The following is a 21,329-nucleotide window of genomic DNA, read 5'->3' as shown; positions in this document are numbered from 1 at the left end:
ATTTTGTGTAATGGCATGACATATACAGATCAGTGTATTCAAAAGCTAATTATGGAATGGTGTACAGGGTTTTGAATGACAGAAGAACAGAATCAGGAAATAGTACTACAATTATCCAGATAGAGAAACCATGAAGGCTTTCAGTAGTAGAGATATTTAGGTGGTAGATCTGCTAATTCTCAGTGACCCAGTGGATGTACAAGGTTGAAAAATTAACGATAACTCTGAAGTAACCAGTACTTGTTGAATCTGAGTGTGTTTAAAAGACTCTGGGATAAATAGTAAGAAATATAAACCCAGAACTACCAAGAGGTCTGGGCTACAAATACCAGTCAGTATAGACGCAGCCATGGAAGGAACAGGAAAGATGATAACACACAGAGGAGGTTATGGGAGTAAGTACTGAGGAAGCCTGAAGGATCCAGGCATCCAAAGGGTAGGCAGAGGAGAAGGAACGGCTGGGGAAAGAAAGCAAGTGGACAAACGAGTCAAAGAAAACAGTATTGAGTTGTCCTCTGCCCCTCCCCATGGGCATAAATGCTCCCCTGAAGTCTTGCTATTACAAGTGGAACAGAAGAACGGCTTCAACTGCAATAAACACAGAGCTGAAGAACCATCTCTGCTAGCCTTTCTTGAAATTCAGTATTTCTAGGTATGGCATGTCAGCATACGAAAGTTATCAAATATCTTTAAATATTCTCCATTCATTTAAAAAAAAGATTAGATCTATAAAAGAAATAATGATTAAAACAAGGGAGTTATGTCAATATTTTCTACACTCTATTCAAATATACCATGTGAGATGGTGTGGTAAAATGAACAAAGCTGTAAAACAGGAGTCGAAGGACCGTTCACTTCTCAAAGTCCTCCGGTGGCCTTTCTGCAACCCAGAGTAAAAGCCAAGGTCTTTACCACGGCCTACAATGCCCTCACAGATCTTTCCTCTGCTTTCTCTGCAAGCACACACACGTTTCTTCCTCTCTCTTCAACTGTAGAGAACACCCAAGCACAAATGGCCACAATCACCCTGCTGGTCACTCTCTATTCATTTATTCACTTTACATAATGTATCTCTACCTGAAATTATAATGTGTATGTATTTGTTTGTTGTCTTTCCCACTAGATTTTTTCCCCCACTATAATTTAAACTATATGACAAGTAGAACTTTATCTTGTTCACCACTGCTGCATTCTAGCACCTCGGACAGTGCCTGACACACCATAGTACTCAAGAAACTCTTGTTGAATGAAATCTATAATTAATCTAAGCCTCTTTGTTCTATCATGTGTAAATGAGGATAGTAATCCATACCTGCTCTGTCTATTCTTCACACAATGAAATGAAATAATGTATGTTAAAGTAATTTACAAACTGTAAATCCCTATTCAATAGAAGTAGTGGTGGTGAAAGATGTTTCCTAACATGGTAGAAGAAAGCTGTGGTAGCAAATATACATATAAATACATGAATTGTTAATGATAGCCTATATCAAGCTAGTCCAACCCATGGCCAGCAGGCTGCAGGCAGCCCAGGATGGCTTTTTGCAGCCCAACACAAATTAATAAACTTTCCTAAAATATTATGAGGTTTTTTGCTATTTTTTTTTTTAGCTCATCAGCTATCATCAGTGTTAGGATATTTTATGTGTAGCCCAAGACAATTCTTCTTCCAATGTGGCCCAGGTAAGCTAAAAAATTGGACATCCCTGGCCTAGAGAATAAATTTTTAGTTTCATAGTTGTTGGTTCCATTTTTCTTTATAATAGAAAATATAGCCCAGAAAGGAACACTTATCCAAGTATACAATTTCCAAATACCTAAAGGACTTTGCCCAGTATTGTACTCTTTGAGAAACAAAAAAGACTAAAGGTTGGGTTAGCTGACTTATAAGCCACAGAAATAATTTAATTTCTGAAAAAAAAATTAAGAATAAAAGATTAAAACTGACCTAAACATTATGAACTGAATTGTGTCTCTTCTAAATTCATATGCTGAAGTCTTGATTCCCATACTGAGAATGTGACTGTCCAGAGATAGGGTCTTCAAAGAGGTGATTACATTACAATGATGTCATTCGTGTGGGCCTTAATTCAATACGACTGATGTCTTATATGAGGAAATAGGGACATGGAAACGTGAAGAGGGAAGACATATGAAGACATGGGGAGAAGCCATCTAAAGATCAAGGAGAGAGGCCTCAAAAGGAACCACACCTGCCAACACCTTGAACTCCAACTTCAGTTTCCAGAATTGTGAGAAAACAAATTTCTGTTGTTTAAGCCACCCAGTCTGTGGTACTTTGTTGTCACAGCCCTAGCAAATTCATACCCTTTGTTTTTCTAGAACCCATAAGAAAAATCTTCAGAAAAGAGTTCCATTAAAAATGAGGTAAGCAAGCTAAAACAATCTTTATAAACATGTTATTTTGCTTTCATCATTTATATTGAAACTTTAACTTCAGGTAGAATTTTCTCAGTATAAATTTGAGTTGTCAAGTTCTTAATCCAATTTTCTCACTATATTTCATATTTTTACTGAGAAAAACTAGCCTTTCACAAAGCAGTTGGAGAAAATGTTACCCTAGTACAGGGCACATACTTAGGCATATATATTTATTTTATCAATTTGGGCCCATAATGAGTTTTAATTTTTTTTAATTAATAGGAGCCCAGTCTAAAAGGCATCAGAGTTATTGATGTGATCCACCTCAACTTATCAAGATAGTAGCCATTCACATACAAAACAAGCATGCATAACTGCAAATCACCCTATTTTCAGACTCTAGGAGGGATTTCTACCAGGTCCATTGATGTTGGTCTTACAGTGGAAAGGTATACGGTAGCCTAGAAGCTGTACCCTCCAAAAGCAAAACACCTAAGGCAAGAACTGAGGCGGAAAGATCCTTAAACATTCTTGACTTTCCTTGTGAATTTGGGCCCCAGATTCAGAAATACAGCTGATTTATCACCCAACACATGACTTCTGTTGCTCATAGGTAAGGCTCAGATCTTTCCTCGCCTGTATCTTTTTATTTTTTAAAGTGAGTCATATGAAATTTCATTAATTTGCTGAAAACCTAATTTCCTGTGCCAGCCTATAAGAACAGTTAGTTGTTATTGTGTTAACTTCTTTGTTCTTTTATCATTAGCAGGGTTTTTAAAATACTTTTTATCTGTATCTTTTTATTTTTAATTGCGGTAAAATCACATAATATAAAATTTACCATTTTAACCATTTTTAAGTGTATGGTTCAGTGGTGTTAAATATATTCACATTGTTGAGTAACCAATCTCCAGAAATTTTTGTAAGTTTCAGTCTGGCAAAACTGAAACTCTTTGCCCATGAAACAACTCTCCATTTCTCCCTCCCCTCAAGTCCCCGGTAACTACCATTCTACTTTCTGTTTCTATGAATCTGACTACTCTAGATACCTCATATCAGTGGAATTATGTAGTATTTGTCTTTGTGAGTGACTTATTTCACATAGCATAATGTCTTCGAGGTTCATTCAAGTTGTTGCATGTGACAGAATTTCCTTTCTTTTTTAAGGCTGAATAATATTCCATTGTGTGGATATACCACATTTTGTGTATCCATTTATTTAACAATGGATGCTTAGGTTGATTCCACCTCTCTGCTATTGTGAAAATGCTGCTATGAATATGGATGTGCAGATCTCTCTCTGAGACTCTGCTTTCAATTTGTTTTTGGACATATACTCAGGAGTGGAATTACTCAGCTGTATCTTTTCTACTCCTATTAATTTCTAATTACTAACAACTTTAACATTATGTCTTTACATTTATATTCTTAAATTTGCTATAAAGCAGATACGGTTGAAAGCCAGATATATAGGAAGAGACAGCTACATATTCTCATGGGCAATTAATAAAAAGGATCACATATAAACTGTCAATTGAAAGTGGTTTCTTTTATCTTTTGGGGGAAGGGTATGATACATCCTATTAAGAATCTAATAAAGTCTATGGAGTTTATCCCAGGGAAAAATACACATGGAAACATGCATCCAAAAATACAGATATGCTTTCAGGAGACTATGAGCCCCTGAAGTCCAGAAGCTGCAAATGTACAGGCTGCCTCTTAAAGGCTCCAAACCCTGAAAGGCCAGAAACTGAGTTTCAAAATTTTAATAAATGTTAAGTATCAGTAAATACCATTCAGACTCAAAGGGCCGCATGATTTGGATCTATTTGTGAATCATTAATCCAACATACCTTAAATTCCACCATTAGCTATCTCTATAACCATTTTTTAGATCCCTAACTCATAAAGAATGAAAGCTGTTACTTGTCTTCTACATGAGCCCAAAAGACTGTGCATTTAATGCTGACTGAGGCATGAGGAGGAAACATTTTTAAAAAAAAGTAAATATGACAAAGGGTCGAATTTGACTCACAAAATCTGTTTCGAGTTTTCCCATTTCTTGTTTGTAGCTTCTCATTCTGTTGCTGTACATCCCTCGACTTTGGGGTGGTATCTCTCGGACTTCCAAATCCATCTGTTCAAGCTAGAAGAGGGAAAGAAAAATGTGATTTAAAACACACTGTTATTCTTATTTGAACAAATGTTTACGGCTGAAAGGATCTAATTCCAGTTCCTCATTTTGTAGTTGAGGCACCAGGTTCAGGGTGCTGAATGATCAAATAACACTGAAACTACTTTTACACTTAATTTTTCTTTAGTTCAACAATTCTGAGTACTTGCCAAGTGACACACACTGTGCTCAAGTACATGCTTTGTTAAAACATATACATTTGGCCAGGCGCCGTGGCTCACGCCCATCATCCCAACACTTTGGGAGGCCAAGGTGGGTGGATCACTTGAGGTCAGGAGTTTGAGAACAGCTTGGGCAACATGGCGAAACCCCATCTCTACCAAAAATACCAAATTAGCTGGGCGTGGTGGTGGGCACCTGTAATCCCAGCTACTCAGAAGGCTGAGGCAGGAGAATAGCTTGAACCTGGGAGGCAGAGGTTGCAGTGAGCTGAGATTGCACCACTGCACTCCTTCCAGTCTAGGTGAGAGAGCAAGACTCCATCTCAAAAATAAAATAAAACAAAATAAAAGATACACATTAACCCAAACGTTATTAATAATTTGATTTCAATATACTTGGAATAGCCCATCATTCAATCCAACCGGGTCTTGTCTTCTGACCATTAACCTCCACAACTATGGGAAGATAAAGTAAGCTATTATTTCCCATGGGTAATCCATGAAACATCAGCCAAGCCTTATTTGGTGATATTTATTCTGGCAGGTGTTTTGTAATTAGGAAAATCACATACCAACCAACATGTGATCTTTACCTTCATCCTAACTCCCGATACTTTATAACCACATTTATATGGCATTAAATGGATACAGTAATATGCTAAATTACATATAGCTTAATGAAATCACAGCAAGGCGCTTTTTTTTTTTTTAACAACCTGCTATCAGATAACACTTTGGATACAACACAGAAGAGTTTAATCAGCAGCAATGCAGAAATACTATAATGGTTTAGGCATAGGCTTTGAAGCCAGACTCTTACGTTGACATCATAGGCTCTACTACTTATTAGTCCTGGAATCTGGAACAGGTTTCTTAATGTCTCTGTGCCTTAGTTTTCTCACTTACAAAATAGTGTCTTTTTCACAGAGCAGCTGTGAAAACTAAATGAGGCAATTCTTATAATGTACTTAGAACAGTGTCTCTTACTTGATAATTGCTAGATTAAAATTAACTCTAGTAACGATGATTGCAAGTGATGAAGAAGATACAGCAAGCACTATACAAGATAGCAGAAGTGGCTTACTTGTAGTTGCCATTAAAAAATAAAAACCAGGCCAGGCGCAGTGGCTCACCCCTGTAATCCCAGCACTTCGGGAGGCCGAGGCAGGTAGATCACCTGAGGTCAGGAGTTTGAGACTAGCCTGACCAACAAGGTGAAATCCCGTCTCTACTAAAAATACAAACATTAGCTGGGTGTGGTGGCGGGTGCCTGTAGTCCCAGCTACTCGGGAGGCTGAGACAGGAGAATTGCTTGAACTGGGGAGGTAGAGGTTGCAGTGAGCCGAGATCGTGCCACTGCACTCCAGCCTGGGCGATGGAGCGAGACTCCGTCTCAATAAATAAATAAATAAATAAATAAATAAATAAATAAATAAATAAAAACCAGTAACAACAACAAATTGGCCCAGGCCATGTCTGCTAAAATCACATGCAAAAATGCTGCCATGTAGTTTACCTTTTAAAGCTTTCTAATAAGTTCCTTCCGGAACCCTACCAGCTTATCACTAATAAAACCTGTATTCAGTGTTAGCGACTGAATAACTACAGTAGCATACAGATAAACCACACAATCACCTTTCAATTAATAGGCTTCAATTTATTATAAAGAAAAAAGATAATTTTAATTAGCCTTGATTTAAACAGTGATAGTTTAAATGATTATGTCTCAACATAAATGAGAAGCACCAATAAATAAAATCATTACTTAGCAAGAAAATTATTTAAAATAACTCTCTGAGATCATCAATTATTTAGTTCTAACAAGGTAAACAGGATCATCTGGAAAAATAACAGCAAAAATACTTGCAAGCCAAAATCTGAGCCTTAAGTATATTTTTGTTGAAGATATTTTATATGGATATTTAAAACTAAATTAAAAGTAGGTAAGACAGAAAAAGGAAACACACAACAAGCACTTAAAATGAAACCAAGAATGAGGCTAATGTGCACTTGTTCCATGTTGTCACAACATTTATGTGGCCAGTGCAGAGTGGGAGAAAAGATCATTGCAAGATGTGTAGTGTCCAAGAGACTAATACAAATCAGATGGTCAGCAGAAACACAATTAATCCCAATAGTCAAATCAAAAGAGTTTTTCTCCCAAGGTCCTCATCAAAAGGGCAGTATCGGCTGCGCACAGTGGCTCAGGCCTGTAATCCCAGCACTTTGGGAGGCCAAGGTGGGTGGATCACCTGCGGTCAGGAGTTCAAGACCAGCCTGACTAACATGGTGAAACCCTGTCTCTACTGAAAATACAAAATTAGCCAGGCATGGTGGTGCATGCCTGTAATCCCAGCACTCTGGGAGGCCAAGGCGGGCAGATCACTTGAGGGCACGAGTTCAAGACCAGCCTGGCTAACATGACAAAACCCCCTCTCTACAAACAAACAAACAAAGTAGCCAAGTGTGGTATTGCTCTGTAATCCCAGCTACTTGGAGCACTGAGGCATGAGAATCGCTTGAGCCCAAGAGGCAGAGGTTGCAGTGAGCCGAGATTGTGCCACTGTACTCCAGTCTGGGTGACAGAGTGAGACTTTATATCAAAAATAAAATAAAATAGAAAAGCAACACACTCATAGGGCCACAATGCATAGTAACAAGTTGAGTCATGCTTGTAGTAGTTAGCTTTTAAAACCCCAAATTAAGACACAATACTTTTAGTCCTTTTTTGCTCCATGTTTTACTGATGTATTTATATAAAAAAGTAGTAGATGAACCAGAGCTCTGAGTTTAGCAAACTAGGAACAAATATTTACTCTATCACTTAACAGGATTTGGGACCTCCAACAAGTTACTTCATCTTTCTAAGTCTCAGTCTCCCCATCCACAAAATGGGAGTGGTAACAGTGTTGAGAATCACTTGGCCAAGGTTCTCTCATGCTGCTACATGTCTTGCCTGGTCTGCCAAGAATACAAGGTCCTGAGGACTCTGTCTGAGCCATTTTTCAGGATTGGGTTTGCGGGGAGCTCAGGGAGAGGAAATAATGTGTCCCCCTGGGACAAACAACAGCCTTGCTTATAGGCTGCTAGAAAGTGGCACATTTTCTAGGCTCTCGTTCTATTCCTCTAAGGTATTCTAATGCTGTTGTAAGCATACATCTAGGCCTGCCTGCATCACCACTGTGGGAATTCAGACTCAGGAACTGATGCAACCAGCCTGAAACACAGGCAACTGCTATTGTTGTGGGTAATAAAAATCTTTTGTCTCTGACCTAGGAGTCTCATGTCTTAGAGAAGACATGAGACATAGTCATCTATGAAACTGTAGCAAGCAAGTGAGTCACTTGAGAGTTTGCAAATAGCAGAAAATATCAGACCCTTTATCATTTTTGACAAATAATATTGTCTCACATGGTTATTGAGAAAATTAAATATTATAAAGCAAGTAGTATTTTTAATCCAGTGTCTGGTACCCAGTATGCCTTTATCCAGCATTAGCTATTTACAGCTGTTATGAAACGTATTATGATGGAATAAAAATTAGAGATAGATATTTAATGAATCACCTTTGCTAAGAAGAATAAAATCCCAAGAAGCTACTAAAATCTCTTCAATTTAAAAATTGACAAATTCTGAATTATAAAATGCTAATCAGCAATGCTTCACATTTCCACAATGTATAAAACAGGCTAGAGGAAGACATTAGCTTAAACGGCTCTGGCTGTGTGTTAAAATACATTACTGTCTGTACATACCAGTTCTTTCGCTTCTTCAAGCTGTTTCTCCACATTTGCAACCATCTGTTTCTTTTCATCTGAAACAAACAATAATACCAAGAAATTGCTAAAGATACAAATAAATTTAATATTTTAAAACTTCAATTTTTATATGCCTTTTTCCTTTCTGGTCAATCAGATTACAGAACATAAGGCAAAAGAGCATATCATTCTTTGGTGGGTTTGAAACCACTTTAAGCCATTGATTCCAGGCTATCTAGAAACATATAATCTGATAGAATACCTAATTATTAAGAGACACCATTTTTAAGAGAGACCTATTTTTAAGAGAGACTAAAAATTATGTTGCCCTTTAGGAGAGACTAAGTCAACAAGAGCAGATTTGTGCTGGCCTAAGGAATCTGTGAAGTCATAACTTTAATAAATTGGGAATAACTGATTTGTTAATACAATTTAAAAGTTATATACAAAAACACTTCCTAAAACTGGGCAAAAACAATCCTTTAAAAAATTGTACTTTCAGTAGCATGGAGAATCAGGTGTAATGGAATAAATATTTGAAGTTAGGACTACTGATTCCAAACCGAAAGCTACTATCTCACTCAATGGTTATGGGATCCTGGGCAAGAAATTTTTCTCTTTTTTTCTGAGACTCACTCTGTACTCTCTAAAATGGAAATAAAAAATATCTACGGGATTACTTTTAGCTCCAATAAGCTTGATGCAAGTGAAATTACTTTAATATTATAAAGTGCTAAGTCTCTGTATGTGGTTTATTTTTCTAATACAATCAAGTTATAACCCAACTGTAATTCCCTTCTCTAGGAGAGACATGTCCTGGCAGACAATTTCAGAAAGCTTTCCCATACCCTCATTCCAGCCAGTCAGCCTATTTGTTCACATACCCTAGTTAAGTTTTGTGCAAACCAGATGTATTGAACATCTCTAGTTTTTGTCTGCCTAGCATGCTTCTCTTCTCAGGCAACAGCCCCTACTCTCTTCAAAGGCCTTCTTCCTCACCAAGCAGGACAATGAAAATGCTATCTCCATAAAGACTCTGCTTCTTCAGTCACAGTGACTTGGCAAATGACCGGCATCTAATCCTAGCTGGACTAATCTCAGTAACTCAATCCTCTGGCCACATTCATCTGGGAGTTGGGCGGTGGGATAGGCATATATGAACCAGAGAGAACAAAGTTCTAGAGCAAGGGGAAAGCCTTTTCCTTTCTCCTGGTAACGAAAAAATGAGCCTAGAAGCGCTGCTAGCATCCATTGGTCTAGCTCCAAGAAGAAAGCAAGCGTGCAATGGCTGAAAATAAAACCTGCATTTAAAAAGAAACACAACTGAGAGACAGAGAGAGAGAGATATAGTTAGTTCCTGGCTTGAAATAACTGAAATGGCTTGACTTTATAAAAGCTTGACTTTACCATAGTTTGGTTTCTTGAGCCAACAACTTTCTTGTTCTTTATTTAAAACTGGGTTTATGTCACATGGGAGCCTAATGAGACTGACTAACACAACAGACTAGAAAAGTCATGAAGCTTGAAATGGGTACAACACCTACCAGCTGACCAGCCTTCAGAAGGACAGCCAATCCTAAGTGGGGAAGCTTTAATAGAAATTATTATTTCACTGGCCGGGCGCGGTGGCTCACGCCTGTAACCTCAGCACTTTGGGAGGCCTAGATGGGTGGATCACAGGGTCAGAAGTTTGAGACCACCCTGGCAAACATAGTGAAACCCCGTCTCTACTAAAAATACAAAAAATTAGCTGGGTGTGGTGGTGGGCGCCTGTAATCCCAACTACTTGGGAGGCTGAGGCAGGAGAATTGCTTGAACCCGGGAGGTAGAGGTTGCAGTGAGCCGAGATCGCACCATTGCGTTCCAGCCTGGGCAACAGTGCGGGACTCTGTCTCAAAAAAAATAAAAATAAAAATAAAAATAAAAATAAAAATATATATATAATTATTTCACTAAAACAATGATTAGATTATTAGTAGATTCTACTAATCTTAACCCTTTCCCTTTGTTATCCCCAAACTACAGAGGGGGAACAGTTGTCACATAAGGTGTTTTATGTGTACTCACAATATTTCTCCCTAAGAAAAATAAGCCTTTGGGATTACAATTCAACTTGATTTTCCCTCCTTGAAAAGTTAAATCTACATATGGCCAGATTAAATATTTAATAGATGATCCCAAATGTATTTGCTTCTGGGACATTTCAACCCTTTTAGTATCTTCACACAGTTACAGTTAGAATAGACTACATTTTTGTGATAGAGAAAAATACAAAATAAGACAGGCTTATCTTGGATCAAAACTGAGATGGTGTATTTACGTATCAGGAGGAACATCCTGTTCTCTTTAAGGTATTCAGTTGATAGGAAAGTCCATGCCGTGGACCTCCAGGACTAATAAGCATCAGTTTTTCTCATTAGCAAAATAAAACAAAGAAAGAAGCCTCCCTTGACCTGTATTCCCCTTTGCTAATATTCCTCTCCTTTCATCACCAGTCAATTTTCTTGAAAGCAAGGGTACAGACTCTGTTTCCCTTCCTCATCTTCCCATCCACTCCCTGTAAACTAACTCCTGCCCCCACCATTCCACTGAAATTACTCTCACTAGATTAATAACCCTTCCTTTGCCCAAACTAATAGACATTCTTAGGTCCTGTTTTTATTTAATCTTGTGGTTTCTTACACTTTGCTCCTCCCGTCCTGTAACTTTCTCCTCTACTGGCTCCCATGGCACCCTGATCTGGTCATTCTCCTGAAGGCTCACTCCTGTCTCACGGTCCTCTGTTAGGCATTGTATTTTTCAGGCCATCTTTCAACTGCTGATGTTCCTTGGAGTTCAGTCCTTGCCTTTCTTATGACTATCGTCTATGTCCCTGGGCAATTTCATCCATTTTAAAACTATCATATTATGTATTTATGATCCTAAATCTTTATCTCTAACGCTGATATATTTCCAGGCCTTCAATCCTTTAATCCCAATGCCCATCTCCACCAGGCCCACCTGGCAAACCTCTATTCAAAACTCTCTTCAGAAATCATCACTTCTTTGAAGGCTTTCCTAACCCAACATAAGAGTTAATCACCCCCTTGTACATAAAATATCTATAACTCTTATGTAATCCTAATGATTTATCCCTCACATGAACAACCTTTCAACTTAGAGGCTCTGGGAAGACAAGAACCATGTCTCAGTCATCTTTATAGTCCTACACTATACTGAGCTTGGCATACACAATCAGTTTTCAAAAAATGAAAGTAAGTTAAATACATAATGCAGGACACAGCAAGAATTTGCAAAAGAAGCTATGCTACTAACCACCTTGGTCTCCCTGCCCCCTCTCCCATTTAATCTTCCTAAAATTTGGCTTTGGTGGGTCAGTTGAGCTTAGCAGTTAAGGTCCTCGACATTTCAGAGCCGAGCATCCTTTCCAACTTTATTTCCAACTACAAGGTTTCTAGTATGCAGTCTACAGACAGACTGTTCATTGCTACCCAAACAAATCTTGTTTTTTTCTTCTCTAAATCTTTGTTAAGCTACCATTTAGGGTTCTTTGGCTGAATGCGACAGAAGTGATTCTGGCTAAACTAATTCAAAAAAGATAATTTGTTAGAATAATGTGGGGTGGCTCATAGGATCAATGGACAAAAATGAGCCACCCAGCTTGGGAAAGACAAGTATGAGGAGTAGCTCAGGATACCAAGGAAATAGGAACTTACAGTCTCTGCTAAAGCAAAGTCTTGAGCGGCTCTAACTATTCTCTTTCCTTGGTTCATTCTGATCAAATTCCTGGCAAAAATTCTATAAATGTCCTTGCTTAGGTAATATGTTCACCTCTTGACCTACAGAGGGCAGGGCAGCCTGTCAGTTCTATCAAGACTGGAATAAGGGGGTTTAAGTAGTTCCTCAATAGGAAATTGAGTAGATAGAATGAAAGCTGCTGGGTGCAACAGATGCCCACTGCATCCATTTATTGCAACCTCTTATAATATAGTCTTTGCTTGTTTCTGTCTGTCCAAACCCCACCTATCCTTCTAGGCGAGGTCCTGAGACATACCTCATTTCCTTTGAATTCCTAGAGTTCTATGCTCGGCTCTAGGGGGTACAACGGTCATTAAAAATTAGGTTCTACAGTTTCCTCTTTTTTTTTTTTTTTTTTTTGAGATGGACTCTCACTTTGTCACCCAGCCTGGAGTGCAGTGGTGCAATCTTGGCTCACGGCAACCTCCACCTCCCAGGTTCAAGTGGTTCTCCTGCTGCAGCCTCCCGAGTAGCTAGGACTACAGGCATGCGCCACCACACACAGCTAATTTTTGTATTATATTAGTAGAATGAGGTTTCACCATGTTGGTCAGGGTCATCTCAAACTCCTGACCTCAAGTGATCCACCTGCCTCGGCCTCCCAAAGTGCTGGGATTACAGGTGTGAGCCACTGCACCTGGCCTGCAGTTTCCTCTTCAGGCTCATTGCCGGCTCCTTGAAGGCAGAGACTACTCTTGACAAATCGTGTCCAAACTCTGTATTTAGCATAGAGAGCTGTACATGGTAGGGGCCACTAAGTGCTTACAGAATAAATGAGTCAGTCTTAGCACGCAGCAACATACTTATTACTCACAGAGAAACTGAGGGGGAAAAACAGCTCATTTTAGTGAGGACTGGGGCAAATCTTCCCATTTGAAATGACAAATTTCCCTTCACGAAAAAAATAATTAAATTGGAATAGAGGTGGAGTTAACACAATTAGATCATTTTCTTTTCATAAAATTCATTTTGTGATGGTGCTGTCAGAAATAATGATGGAACTGAGACATTCTTTGATTGGTCCTTATAGTGTTCCTCATGTTTTTAAGAAGGCAAATCTCAAAAGTGATGATTTAGGGGTAAAGTATGAGGAAGGAAGGAAGGAAGGAAGGAAGGGAGGAAGGGAGGGAGGGGAGAAGGAGGGAAGGAACAAAGGAAGGAGGGAAAGAACAAAGCAAGGTGAGAAGGAGGGCGGGAGGAAGGGAGGGAGCAGAGAAGGAAGGAAGGAAGGAAAGGGAAGTGAAGGGAAGGAACAAAGGAAGGAAAGGAACAAAGGAAGGAGAGAAGGAGGGAGGGAGGGAGGAAGGAAGGAGGGAAGGAGGGAAGGAGGGAAGGAGGGAAGGAGGGAAGAAGGGAAGGGGGAAGGGGGGAAGGGGGAAAGGGGGGAAGGAGGGAAGGAGGGAAGAAGGGAAGAAGGGAAGGGGGAAGGGGGAAGGGGGAAGGGGGGAAGGAGGGAAGGAGGAGCGGAGGGGAGTGGAGGAGGGGAGGGGAGGGGGAGGGGAGGGGAGGAGGGGAGGGGAGGGGAGGGGAGGGGAGGGGAGGAGGGGAGGGGAGGTGAGGGGAGGGGGGAGGGGAGGGGAGGGGGGAGGTGAGGGGAGGAGGGGAGGGGAGGAGGGGAGGAGGGAAGGGGAGGGAACTGAACTAGATGACCTTGGAAATACCTACCAACACGAAGTTTTGGTAACCTGGCAACATTTACATGTAATTCCCAAAAGAGATTCATTCTGCCCACCCCAAATGACATCCCCTTTCAAACAACATGTACCTAGGATTCAGACCTTTGTAACTAAGGGCTATCATTAATGTACATGGTGCTCTGTGTTTAACATTGTTATAGTCAATCCTTAAAACAACCTTTTTGAGGTATTATTACTATCCCTTTCTCAAGCCATTAAATAAGATCAGAGATACTAAATTATTTCCTGAAAGTTCAACAACTAATAAATAGCAGAGTTGGAACTCTAATGGGGTGGGTCTGTTGTCCTGAACTGAGCTCGTAACTGCTATATGTATTATATAAAATATACTATTTAATATATAAACAGTCTCCCACTTTTTTTTTTTTTTTTGGTCTATAAGCTTGATAAGTGCTGATGTACATACACATAAGTCTTAGCATAGTATGTATGATCTTTTCTTTCCTACTCAATACATTTTTAATTAGTTTTCTTTTTCATTTAGAGACAAGATCTCGCTCTGTCACCCAGGCTAGAGTGCAGTGGCATGATCATAGCTCACTGTAACCTCAAACTCCTGGGTTCAAGGTGTCCTCCCATCTCAGCCTCCTGAGTAGCTGGGATGACAGGTGCGTGCCACTATGCCCAGCTAGTTTTAAATTCAATTTTATTTTGTAGAGATGGGGCTTCACTATGTTGCCCAGGCTGATCTTGAGCTCCTGGGCTCAAGTGATCCTCCCATCTTGGCCTCTCATTTCCTACTCAATAGAAGTTCTTAGTGCTGACGTACAAACAAGTCTTTGCATAGTATAATTCTTGATATTTACAGAAGTGCTTAATCAGCACAGAACACCCTCATTAAAGTGTCAAGGCTCACTTGAATTCAGTTACTTGTACCTGTCTTTGTGCAATGTAGATATGTTAAAATAAAACTAGCAGCAGAAATTATGTATGTACTTAGAAATGTAGGGTCAAACCACTAAGAGAGGAACAGATAATTTTTAAATGGGTATATTACTGATGCTACCCTGTGTAACATGGTATAGAATGGTCAGTGTTGAAATAAAGCAATTACAGAATGATCCATCTGATAATGGATTAGAGCTGGAGATACTAGTATGAACTTGTGTTTAACATACTATATATACAAATGATTACATATGCAAATGCTTGTAGATATGTTCATATACATGGCTTAGTATATACATGTGAATTTCCTTGCTTTGTCAGCTGAGAGGTTCCAGAGGCAACAACACCCCGGGAGTAATGTGCACACCTACTGTCCAGATCTTGGTTTCTAATACCCTTCTTTAATTAAAGGAAACAGGATTCCTCAGAGAAAGGGCTGATTCTAGCACTGAAACAGGAAATAGAGAAGATGATCCTGGAGTATCTTATACTATCAGAAAGCAATATAGTCCTTAAAAAAAAGAAAAGAAAAAAGCCAAAATGATGGGGGTATACCAAAAGGACACAGAAGCCAAATTAAAAAAAAGGCTCCCAATGGTCAACGCTAAAACAATTTGAGCAACATGAAAATAAAGTAGTATTGGAATATAACACAAAGGATAAAATAGGTATCTATGAGTCCATACTGATGTAAATGACTGAATAAGTAAATAAATGAATAGATAAATCTCTCTTACATAAAAGAATTACAAATAATTCACGTAATTACTTGGCTTCAAGGAGGTAGAGTGTAACTCTCCACTCCTTAAGTATAGGCTATGCATATATGATTTTCTTCCAAATAGTATGGAAAAGGGAGGGAAACAGTAACTTTACAGTGGAGAAACCTGGCAAACACTACCTCAGCCACGTGATAAAGGTTAACATCAGTAGTGATAAGTCATGTTGACAGTATGTATTCTTGGTATGTGGTGAAAATGATGCTTTACTTCTGTGGTCCTCCTCCCCAAAACCCAGAACTCCAATCTAATCATGAGAAAAACATTGAGCAAATCCCAGTTGAGGGAACCTTCTAGAAAATATCTGACCAGTACTCTTCTAAACTGTAAAGTCATCAGAAACAAGGACAGTTTGAGAAACTGTCATAGCCATGAGGGGCCTAAAAATCCATGAGTACTAAATGTTTTACAGTGTCCCAGATTGGATCCTGGAATAGTTAAAGGACATTAGGTAAAAAGAACAAACAGAACAAAACGAAATCTGAATAAAGTATGACCTTTAGTTAATAATAATGTATCAATATGGGCTCACTAGCTGTAACAAATGTACCATATTAACATGATGTTAATCACAGAGAAAACTGGGCATGGGGTATATGGGATTCTCCGTACTATCTTTGTGATTTTTCTGTAAATTTCAGACTGTTCTAAAATAAAAAGTTTATTTAAAAAAAAAAAACAAAAACAAAAGACTGAAGCCATTACTTAGGTTGACTAAATTGACCAATATATAGACAACATACAGATATATAGATCTATAGATGCATACACACACACAATTGTTTATATGAATGTATATTATTCAAAGATGAATACAACCCCATAAAAGCTTAATTTTTTTTTTTTTTTTTGAGACAGAGTCTCACTGTGTCACTAGGCTGGAGTGCAGTGGCGCAATCTTGGCTCACTGCAACCTCTGACTCCCTGGTTCAAGTAATTCTCCTGCCTCAGCCTCCTGAGTAGCTAGGATTAGAGGCACGTGCCACTACACCCAGCTAATTTTTGTATTTCTAGTAGAGACGGGGTTTCTCCATGTTGGCCAGGATGGTCTCGATTTCCTGAGCTCGTGATCTGCCCGCCTTGGCCTCCCAAAGTGCTGAGATTACAGTGTGAGCCACCGCGCCCGGCCCTAAATGCTTAAATTTTTTATGAGACATAACTGGGCCATCAGTAACTGCTAAAGACTATCTTCCCTGTATGCTCAATTGAAAAAGCTGGACCTTGCCCAGCAGCTCATGAAGCAGATTTTGAGGTAGCCTGAATCCTAACAAGGAACAAACTATTGTAGCAGTGAGTTCCTGAATCAGGACTGGAACCATCCCTTCAACTGTAACCCTCTAGAGCAACAGAAATATAATGCAAGTCACACATGCAATTTTAAATTTTCTTGTAGCAGTATTTTTTAAAGTTTTCAAAAATAAAAAACTTTTAAGAGAAACAAGTGAAATTAGTTTTAATAATGTTTTTAATTTCAATAATACGTAATTGCATATATCTAAAATATTATCATTTCACAATGTAGCAACAGCCACATTTCAGGTGCTCAATAGCTACACGTAGATATTACAGCTCTAAAGCCAAATATATTTTAAGCAAACCACAATATTCATGAACAAAAGCCAACTTTTCTGAATTATCTCACTGCAACCACCTTGCAAAGGCAAGAGAGAATCACAGAAGTATGTTTATGCCTTCATCTACACGTGGCTAAGTCTAGATGGTCTAGACAATCCTCCAGGGCTTGGCATAACCAATCCACTAGACTCAGGCATTTCCTTCCAGAAAGGACACCTGCCTTGTCCGACACCACTTTCACTTCTCTCCTCCGACTGCCCCCCTTGGGATCCTGAGTTCAAAGCCCAGTTCCAAATTCATATCCAAAAGGCCCTAATCACTTACCTCCTTTCAAATGTGTTCATCAAGAGAAATTTACCTAATTCTAGTCTAGGAACAGAAAGGAAGCAAGAATTGAAGTGTAAGATTTAAGAGTTCAATTAACATGACAAAGTCTGAAGAGCGGGGTCCTAGCTAATCTTACCAACTGTTGTCTTCAGCAGCAGCAGTAATATCATTAATGGCTAGTATATCACGTGTTTTCTCTGTGTAAGAAGGGTGCTAGTGTGTTACATGTTTTATTTCACTGATTTTTACATTATAAGGTTGAAATTATTACTCTCTCACCCCCATTCTACCGATGGAGGAGACAGGCCTAGAAAGGCCAAGCAATTGTCCATGACTGCACATCTAGTAAGTAGCAGAACTAGGGTTCTAAACAGATCTGATGTCATGTCTGAATCTGAATCATTTTGCTGTAATACTTTCTTGGTACAATTCTGAGGACAGCCATAAAGTGACAGGATTCACAACAGATCATTCCCTCTCTGTGAATGGTAAAGTAAGCAACTAATTGCAAAAAGACTACTTTAAAATTCTTCAGGAAGCCTATTTCGTGTAACAGAATCTTTGCACCAGAGGAAAACATTCCCCACTTAAGAATTCACTCCCATCACTAGAGGAAAAGGAACTTCACAATAAAGTACTAACTGTATAGTTTCTGCTCATCCCTTTTCCTTACTTTCCCACAGAACCATAATAATTAAAAAAACAATGTTCAAATATAGTGCCATAGGGTATTAAGAAAGAACTCACCCATCTCAGTTCAATTACTAAAATTAGTTAAGATTCAAACACTTTAAGAGCAAAATCTCTTTATTGTTTAAAAAATATCACAGAGTAATCAGATTTCTTTCTTAAAATAAAATTTTTAAATGTTCACTCTTCTGTTCTCTTTGGAAGCAATACTTTAATACATTGTAACATGCACAGCAGAGTAAAGTTCATTTCAATAGATCTACCCACTCTACTTGAATTTAAGTAAGTTACTATGTTGGGGGAATTAACTGCTTTGGCTGGAAAGTTTGCTCCAATTTTTATCCTTCTTAACTCAAGTAAATTATAGTTCACCTCCTCTGGGTCACTTTTAGCTCAACACTGCACTCGCCAATGATGGCCAGAGAGAGAGATTATAATTACTTGTCATCAAACTATTTTTGCCATGGTTATATATATTAATGTCTGTTCATCTACAGACATACATCTGAAATTCATAACTACATGGATATATTTTTCATCTTTTTCTATACATCAATTGGAAATAGATTTAAAAAGGGGCAAGCACAAGTCATTATTAAGAGGGCAACTACTGCGTTTTTAAGAATTATGATCAGGCCAGGTGCGGTGGCTCACGCCTGTAATCCCAGCACTTTGGGAGGCCCAAGTGGGTGGATTGCGTGAGCCCAGGAGTTTGAGACAAGCCTGGGCAACATGGCAAAACCCCATCTCTACAAAAAAAAAAAATCAGCCGGGCACAGTGGCTTGAGTAGTCCCAGCTACTCGGGAGGCTGAGGTGGGAGTAGACTTGAGCCGTGAGGGAGAGGTTGCAATGAGCTGAGATTGCGCCATTACACTCCAACGTGGGCGATACAGCAAGACCCCATCTCATAAAGAAAAAAGAATTATGATTATTCAATAATACAAGTCAGTAAGCATTCTTCCAGAGCCAGCAATGCAGTCTCCTTTCAATTGTAATGAAGCTCCTGTGTTTGGGCCTTATATAATACTACAGCTAAGGAAAGACATAGTTTTTTTTTAATTTATTTATTTATTGAGACAGTTTCGCTCTTGTCGCCCAGGCTGGAGTGCAATGGCGCAATCTCAGCTCATCGCAACCTCCACCTCCCAGGTTCAAGCGATTCTCCTGCCTCAGCCTCCTGAGCAGCTGGAGTTACAGGCATGTGCCACCACGCCCAGCTAGTTTTGTATTTTTAGTAGAGACAGGGTTTCTCCATGTTGGCCAGGCTGGTCTCAAACTCCCGACCTCAGGTGATCCGTCTGCCTCGGCCTCCCAAAGTTTTGGGATTATAGGCATGAGCCACCGGGCTCTGCCCAGTTTTATTTTTAAGGTACTGAATTCAAAAAGTTTCCTTCTATGTGTTAAGAATTGTCACATTAAAATATAAAGGCAAGAAAAAAATTGTAACACGATCTGTTTTCTTGGAAATTTACAACTTTGCATCCAAGGATGATTTTGTTACCTTGTAAAACAGCTTCCCAATACAAAAACTAATAACCCAAAGAAATGTTTCTACTGCTAAAACAATTACAATTAAAAATGAGTAAAACTCTAACTGGAACCACAAGTCCTGATACTCTGAGGCTCTGGGACTCAATTCAAAGGAAGTAGTCTCCAACAATAACAAAAATCAAGACGATCTCCGGCAGTGGAGAAAAGCAGAACTGAAGAGAAGAGGCGAGGTGATGTATCATGAAGAGATGAGGCCATCAGCCACTTTCGACACAAAAATCTCTGAGGCAGCAGAGCTTGGTGGTATATACTACCTTGGTTCTCTCCTCTTGTTCCCTTACTTGGACTCATAAACCTCTTTAAGACATCATCCATCTCCTCCAGAACTAACTGGGGACTTCAGGAGATGAGTGGGGTATAAGTTCAGAGATCCTGGCTTCAAGCAAATATCCCTATTAACAGAAAATAGGTGAGGGGAAGAAAAACAAAGAAATAAGGGAAGAAAATTACTTATAAACACATAAGTTTTGGGGGAAGTAGGGAAAGGGAAAGAGGAATGACAACTTAGGTCCGGGAGAAATTATTGCTAGTACCAGGACAAGTGGGCAAGTGAAGTGCCCACCAATCCGCAGATTAATGAGCACATCCACCTTTCTACACTTTATATCCTGGAGCTAGGGTAGGGACAAGTCTAGCAGCCAGATGATGGTTCAATTTCCCTAACAAAACTAAACAAAAATGTAAAACCCTTTTCTGTAACTAACTACTCTAATCTGTAGAGAAAGATAGTCCCCGAATCAACATTGTACAAACCATAGTTACAAAAGATCATATTTATATTCACCTGCTCATTCACTTATTTTCCTGAGCCCCTAATAAGTAAACGCCAAGGAAATCAGACACAGCTCCCACCTTCACATAGTTGACAGTCTAGCATAGAAAATAAGATGTGCTAAAACACAAAAGGAAACACAAAAACAAAAACATTTCCAGATGGGAGATGTGAAATTTTTAAGTGTGAAAAATTATCTTGTACCAAGTTTTACATGAAACTGGGTTATACAATAAATCCCCAAGAAGGATGAGAAACAAGAAATGGGGGTGGGGGGTATGAAAAATACTAATGCTAATACAGCAACTAACAACACCAAAAGTGACTTTAAATATGTTATATAAATTTAATCTACCTAACAACCCCATGAGAGAAGTACAATTTTCCCCCATTTACTAAGAAGGAAAGTTGAAAGAGACTAAGAAGTCTGTTTAAGAGGCACAACTTTTATTTTATTTATTTATTTGAGACGGAGTTTCACTCTTGTTGCCTAGGCTGGAGTGCAATGGCGAGATCTTGGCTCACTGCAACCTCCGCCTCCCGGGTTAAGAGGCACAACTTCTAAGTGACAGAGGTAGGATTTGAATCTAGGCACCCTGATTCTTACCTCTATTTTGCCGCATATAATTATAACAATATTATTACTAACACAACAACGCCGCTGTAGATTGTAGATCCATAGGCTACATACTTTCATTCATTTTCTTTGAATACTCACATGTCTATAATTTACAAATGAAAACATTAAGACTCTTA

The 21,329-nt window shown here is 39.0% G+C and overlaps 1 protein-coding gene across 11 annotated transcripts in view, besides 1 other annotated feature; it reads right to left on the bottom strand.

Annotated features, from left to right (window-relative positions):
* Positions 1 to 21,329, bottom strand: part of VTI1A (vesicle transport through interaction with t-SNAREs 1A) — a 408,381-nt gene that overhangs the window by 386,294 nt on the left and 758 nt on the right. For 8 of the 11 annotated variants that reach the window (NM_001365713.1, NM_001365711.1, NM_001365712.1 and 5 more), the window contains exons 2-3: positions 8,493 to 8,551; positions 4,418 to 4,528 (exon numbers count right to left, since the gene is read on the bottom strand). In NM_001365713.1, the coding sequence (NP_001352642.1) occupies positions 4,418 to 4,528; positions 8,493 to 8,551 (170 nt within the window). Of the gene's footprint in view, positions 1 to 4,417; positions 4,529 to 8,492; positions 8,552 to 18,348; positions 20,194 to 20,585; positions 20,694 to 21,291; positions 21,296 to 21,329 lie in introns of those variants that run through there. The other 3 variants (NR_134521.2, NR_134522.2, NR_134523.1) reach the window with 3 other exon arrangements.
* Positions 7,771 to 8,065: an enhancer, noted in NCBI's record as "tiled region #13267; HepG2 Activating non-DNase unmatched - State 15:Elon, and K562 Activating DNase matched - State 11:FaireW". NCBI's record gives its function as "activates a minimal TATA promoter and a strong SV40 promoter by Sharpr-MPRA in HepG2 and K562 cells {active_cell/tissue: HepG2 | K562}" and the evidence as "EXISTENCE:reporter gene assay evidence [ECO:0000049][PMID:27701403]".

Source organism: Homo sapiens, chromosome 10 (assembly GCF_000001405.40).
Source record: "Homo sapiens chromosome 10, GRCh38.p14 Primary Assembly".
Lineage (NCBI taxonomy): Eukaryota > Metazoa > Chordata > Mammalia > Primates > Hominidae > Homo > Homo sapiens.
Note: the sequence above shows the minus strand (reverse complement) of the source record. Positions and strands in the feature narration are given on the sequence as shown.